The sequence below is a fragment of the Homo sapiens genome, chromosome 15, assembly GCF_000001405.40.
Source record: "Homo sapiens chromosome 15, GRCh38.p14 Primary Assembly".
Lineage (NCBI taxonomy): Eukaryota > Metazoa > Chordata > Mammalia > Primates > Hominidae > Homo > Homo sapiens.
Genome location: NC_000015.10, coordinates 23,642,761 through 23,648,760, shown reverse-complemented (window position 1 = coordinate 23,648,760; position 6,000 = coordinate 23,642,761). Strand labels below are relative to the sequence as shown.

Genomic DNA, 6,000 nt, shown 5'->3' with positions numbered 1-6,000 from the left:
TTTTTTAAATTTCTTTCCCATTCTGCAGATGAAAAATACTGAGAAACCTACTCTGTTCCTGCATCCGAGCCATTCCACAGGCAGTTTTCCCATACTAAAAATGCTGTCTTCCACTGATGTGTGGCATGTCTCAGTTCCGTGACTTCTTTTCCTCTCTCTCTACTCGCTGCTGTCCCTTTTCTCCATGTGTCTCTAACATGCCTGTGTTCTTCAAGACCCAGTGCAACCACATTCCCTCCCACAACTCTATTTTCATGAGGAATAGCCAAGCAGGACTCCCAAGACATCATACAGGAGTGCCTACAGGGTATCTCTCCTTGGCAGTCCCACAGCACCGCAAATGCCCTGTGTCTGCCAATACTCATCAGCCTCTCTTCCCGTGTGCCTCTCCTGGGACCCTAAGAGAGTAACAGTCCCTGCAACTTCCCACTTTCTCCAGGCAGGGACTTGTGTGCCTTTTCCATGTCTTTGACTCCTTTATTCAATTATAATACAGGTATCTGTCTGCTATAACTCCTGGAACTCTCTTATGTAAATGCGCTTTTTTCATTCTCCGCCTCACATCTTAGCCCAGACCACACCATCTCCCCCCGCCGTCTTGGATACCTTCCATGTTTCCAGTGGTCTGCTCCCACTCCACACTGCAGTACAGTGATTTTTCTAAAACATGGATGGGTTCCTGTCACTCCCCTGTGAAAAGTCATCCATGTGGAGTCTGACTGGTCTGCATTTGGGGACTGGACAGAGTGAGAAGGGATCCTGTGTCAGCCAGGACTCCGGTAGACGCCCCTATGCAATATCCACTTGTGGTGGTCGGGGGCGGGGAAGGGGCGGGATTGAGCCCCCTTCCCCCCTCCTCCTTACTGCGGAAAGCTGCGGAGCGAGCAGCACTCACTTCCTATTCAGCATTCAGCAGGGAGGGAGCCTCTGAACAGCCACGTAGGCATTCTCTTCTCTCTGGAGGAAAAGGCCCAGCAGCTGTCCGAGGAAAAGACCCACCAGCTGTCAGCAAAGGGACATGTCGCAGCTAAGTAAGAATCTGGGTGACTCGAGTCCTCCGGCGGAGGCCCCGAAGCCGCCTGTCTATAGCCGCCCTACGGTTCTGATGCGGGCCCCGCCCGCTTCCTCCCGGGCTCCGCCAGTCCCTTGGGATCCACCTCCAATTGACTTGCAGGCTTCATTGGCCGCTTGGCAGGCACCTCAGCCTGCCTGGGAGGCCCCACAGGGCCAGCTGCCCGCCCCGGTGGTTCCGATGACCCAGCCTCCTGCCCTAGGGGGCCCGATAGTCCCGGCTCCCCCGCTGGGGGGCCCGATGGGTAAGCCTCCGACTCCCGGGGTCCTGATGGTGCATCCTCCACCTCCGGGAGCCCCGATGGCCCAGCCTCCGACCCCGGGAGTCCTGATGGTGCATCCTTCAGCTCCCGGAGCTCCCATGGCCCATCCTCCTCCTCCGGGGACCCCAATGTCCCACCCTCCCCCTCCGGGGACCCCAATGGCCCATCCTCCTCCTCCGGGGACCCCGATGGCCCATCCTCCTCCTCCGGGGACCCCGATGGTGCATCCTCCTCCTCCGGGGACCCCGATGGCTCATCCTCCCCCTCCGGGGACACCGATGGCTCATCCTCCCCCTCCGGGGACACCGATGGCTCATCCTCCACCTCCGGGGACACCGATGGCTCATCCTCCCCCTCCGGGTACACCGATGGCCCAGCCTCCAGCTCCGGGAGTCCTGATGGCCCAGCCTCTGACTCCGGGAGTCCTGATGGTCCAGCCTGCTGCTCCGGGAGCACCGATGGTCCAGCCGCCTCCAGCAGCCATGATGACCCAGCCTCAGCCTTCAGGAGCACCGATGGCCAAGCCTCCAGGTCCAGGAGTCCTGATGATTCATCCTCCAGGTGCGAGAGCTCCGATGACCCAGCCTCCAGCTTCAGGAGCACCGATGGCACAGCCGGCGGCCCCACCTGCACAGCCGATGGCCCCACCTGCACAGCCGATGGCTTCTTGGGCCCCGCAGGCTCAGCCTCTGATCCTGCAAATCCAGTCTCAAGTTATAAGGGCTCCTCCGCAGGTTCCCCAGGGCCCGCAGGCACCCCCAGCGCAGCTAGCCACACCCCCGGGCTGGCAGGCGACCTCGCCAGGATGGCAGGCCACGCAGCAAGGCTGGCAGGCCACTCCCCTGACTTGGCAGACCACGCAGGTCACCTGGCAGGCACCAGCCGTTACCTGGCAGGTGCCGCCGCCCATGCGCCAGGGGCCCCCGCCCATCCGCCCTGGCCCACCACCCATCCGCCCTGGCCCACCACCGGTGCGACAGGCCCCACCGCTGATCCGCCAGGCCCCACCGGTGATCCGCCAGGCCCCACCCGTGATCCGCCAGGCCCCACCCGTGATCCGCCAGGCCCCCGCTGTGATCCGCCAGGCCCCACCTGTGATCCGCCAGGCCCCACCTGTGATCCGCCAGGCTCCACCTGTGATCCGCCAGGCCCCGCCGCTGATCCGCCAGGCGCCGCCGCCCATCCGACCTGCCCCACAGGTCCTGGCCACCCAGCCACCGCTCTGGCAGGCCCTGCCACCCCCACCTCCACTGCGGCAGGCCCCGCAGGCTAGGCTGCCGGCCCCGCAGGTGCAGGCGGCGCCGCAGGTGCCTACGGCCCCACCTGCTACGCAGGTACCCGCGGCGCCGCCCGCTGGCCCGCAGGTGCCCCAGCCTGTGCTGCCGGCCCCGCTGTCTGCCCCACTGTCTGCCCCGCAGGCTGTGCACTGCCCTTCCATCATCTGGCAGGCCCCCAAAGGTCAGCCCCCGGTGCCACACGAGATTCCAACGTCAATGGAATTCCAGGAGGTGCAGCAGACACAGGCGCTGGCCTGGCAGGCCCAGAAGGCCCCCACTCACATCTGGCAGCCCCTGCCTGCCCAGGAGGCCCAGAGGCAGGCTCCCCCCTTGGTCCAGCTGGAGCAGCCCTTTCAGGGAGCCCCGCCCTCCCAAAAAGCCGTGCAAATCCAGCTACCCCCCCAGCAGGCCCAGGCATCGGGTCCGCAAGCGGAGGTGCCCACACTGCCGCTCCAGCCTTCCTGGCAGGCACCGCCTGCAGTCTTGCAGGCCCAGCCCGGACCCCCGGTAGCAGCGGCAAATTTTCCCCTGGGCTCCGCTAAATCATTGATGACTCCATCAGGAGAATGCAGGGCCTCTTCTATAGACCGCAGGGGCTCCTCTAAAGAGCGCAGGACCTCCTCGAAGGAGCGCAGGGCCCCTTCAAAAGACCGCATGATCTTTGCTGCCACCTTCTGTGCTCCCAAGGCAGTGTCAGCTGCGCGAGCACACCTGCCAGCTGCCTGGAAAAACCTGCCTGCCACACCGGAGACCTTTGCTCCCTCCTCAAGTGTCTTCCCAGCTACCTCCCAGTTTCAGCCTGCCTCTCTGAATGCCTTTAAAGGCCCCTCTGCTGCCTCAGAGACCCCAAAGTCACTGCCATATGCTCTGCAGGATCCCTTTGCCTGTGTAGAGGCCCTGCCTGCAGTTCCATGGGTCCCACAGCCCAATATGAATGCCTCAAAGGCATCGCAGGCAGTGCCCACCTTCCTGATGGCTACAGCAGCTGCCCCCCAGGCAACTGCCACCACTCAAGAGGCCTCCAAGACCTCCGTCGAGCCGCCACGCCGCTCCGGCAAGGCCACCCGGAAGAAGAAGCATCTGGAAGCCCAAGAGGACAGCCGTGGCCACACGCTAGCCTTTCATGACTGGCAGGGCCCAAGGCCCTGGGAGAATCTAAATCTGAGTGACTGGGAGGTCCAAAGCCCTATCCAGGTCTCGGGTGACTGGGAGCACCCAAACACCCCCCGTGGCCTGAGTGGTTGGGAGGGCCCTAGCACCTCCAGGATCCTGAGTGGCTGGGAAGGGCCCAGCGCATCCTGGGCCCTGAGTGCCTGGGAGGGCCCGAGCACCTCCAGGGCCCTGGGTCTCTCTGAAAGCCCAGGGAGCTCTCTGCCCGTAGTTGTGTCTGAGGTCGCAAGTGTCTCTCCGGGATCCAGTGCCACCCAGGATAATTCCAAGGTGGAGGCACAGCCCTTGTCTCCCTTGGATGAGAGGGCAAATGCGTTGGTGCAGTTCCTCTTAGTCAAGGACCAAGCCAAGGTGCCTGTCCAGCGCTCGGAGATGGTGAAAGTCATCCTCCGAGAGTATAAAGATGAGTGCTTAGATATCATCAACCGTGCCAACAATAAGCTGGAGTGTGCCTTTGGTTATCAATTGAAAGAAATTGATACCAAAAACCACGCCTATATTATCATCAACAAGCTGGGCTACCATACAGGGAATTTGGTGGCATCCTATTTAGACAGGCCCAAGTTTGGCCTTCTGATGGTGGTCTTGAGCCTCATCTTTATGAAAGGCAACTGTGTCAGGGAGGATCTGATCTTTAATTTTCTGTTCAAGTTAGGGTTGGATGTCCGGGAGACAAACGGTCTCTTTGGAAATACTAAGAAGCTCATCACCGAAGTGTTTGTCAGGCAGAAGTACCTAGAGTACAGGCGAATCCCTTACACTGAGCCCGCAGAGTATGAGTTCCTCTGGGGCCCTCGAGCATTCCTGGAAACCAGCAAGATGCTTGTCCTGAGGTTTTTGGCCAAGCTCCATAAGAAAGATCCACAGAGCTGGCCATTCCATTACCTTGAAGCGCTCGCAGAGTGTGAGTGGGAAGACACAGATGAGGATGAACCTGACACCGGTGACAGTGCCCACGGCCCCACCAGCAGGCCCCCTCCCCGCTAATAGGTGTAGCAGAGATCTCGCTCCTGTGTTTCCCTGGCCAGAGGCCACTGACAGGGTGGGGGGACATTTTTGTTCCTGGTGTTTGTGTTCCAGTTCCACGAGTGTACGTTTGGATTTTCAACTTGGTTTCGTATCTGCCAAAGCTTTGTACATTTTTTATGTGGTGTTGATTTCAATCGGCTACTGTTCTGTTCTGTATTTTGGCATCTGTGTTTTTAAGTGAGATCTGTGGTTCTCTGTTTTGTGTTTTAATTGTTATGTTTTGGTATCAGCTTTGTGCTGGCTTTGTGAAATGAATTGAGAAGCTATCCATCTCATTTCTGGTATAGTTCATGTAGCATTGTAATCGGTTGTTCTTTGAACGTTCAAATGACTCATCAGTAAAAACTGTCTACAGAGAAGTAAATATCTATATCTATATATATAAATATACTTTCAGCATAACAGAAGTGTTTGTCTTTATTCTAATTTTTACACTAGATGGTGGAAGCCAAGTTTTGCCGTATTCTCTGAATAGACATGAATAGCAAGACTACTCTCAGTTATAGTAAAAACCACGGTGATGGAATTGTTTTCCAAGGAGAGTACTCCATTCATCTTTATAAGGATGCAGTGATTTCAGTGGGTGGTTATACATAAGATTTCTCCAGGAGATTAATTAAAGCACACACGTTAGTGCCCAGCTGGTAACGTTGTTATTAGAAGCAGAAATGTCCTTAAGGGTATGTGGAGAAGAAGGGCCATCTGCCTGCAGGACTACAAATAACCAGGTGGTCCCGCTTCATGGAGAATTTGGCCAAAAGGGTATTTGTCAATCATGTGGCCCGTGGCGGGGTGTCCAGCAGTTCAAATTTGGGTTTCATCAACACACTGCTACCGGGATGGAAACGTGCTCCCTGCAGGATATCCAGGCTTATAACAGGGAAAAGGAAAAAACAGTCTTCATTTAATTAGAAACCCTGCAGATTGCCAGCAGTAGTGGCTGGGTTAGGGGAGGGCGTGGCAGGGTGCATTCCTATCAACATAGAGTTCTAGGGGAAGGTCCTGGGGGGAAGGGTCATTCTAACTTGTAGGGGAAGGCAGCCGGCAACGCCTGAAGTTGCTGAACAACCGCGGTCAGCCCTTGGCTATGAACCTGGTCTAGGCAGGAAAGGGACAAGGGAATGAACTGGCCTGAGTGTTTTGAGGAAGGATATTCAAGCACACACCAGGCTGGTGTACACAAAAGGACG

General features: G+C 57.7%; 1 protein-coding gene across 1 annotated transcript, besides 1 other annotated feature; it reads left to right on the top strand.

The window, feature by feature from the left end:
• MAGEL2 (MAGE family member L2) lies at positions 894-5,212 on the top strand. The gene has a single exon (NM_019066.5). The coding sequence runs from the start codon at positions 1,019-1,021 to the stop codon at positions 4,766-4,768; it is 3,750 nt and encodes a 1,249-aa protein (NP_061939.3). The 5' UTR covers positions 894-1,018; the 3' UTR covers positions 4,769-5,212.
• Positions 1,607-2,451: an enhancer, noted in NCBI's record as "H3K4me1 hESC enhancer chr15:23891457-23892301 (GRCh37/hg19 assembly coordinates)". NCBI's record gives its function as "activates a minimal SCP1, AML or CMV promoter by ChIP-STARR-seq in naive H9 embryonic stem cells {active_cell/tissue: H9 hESC(naive)}" and the evidence as "EXISTENCE:reporter gene assay evidence [ECO:0000049][PMID:30033119]".

What these genes read in the sequence shown, in the direction of transcription:
- MAGEL2 (NM_019066.5), top strand. Translation starts at nt 1,019, where the DNA reads ATGTCGCAGCTAAGTAAGAATCTGGGTGACTCGAGTCCTCCGGCGGAG.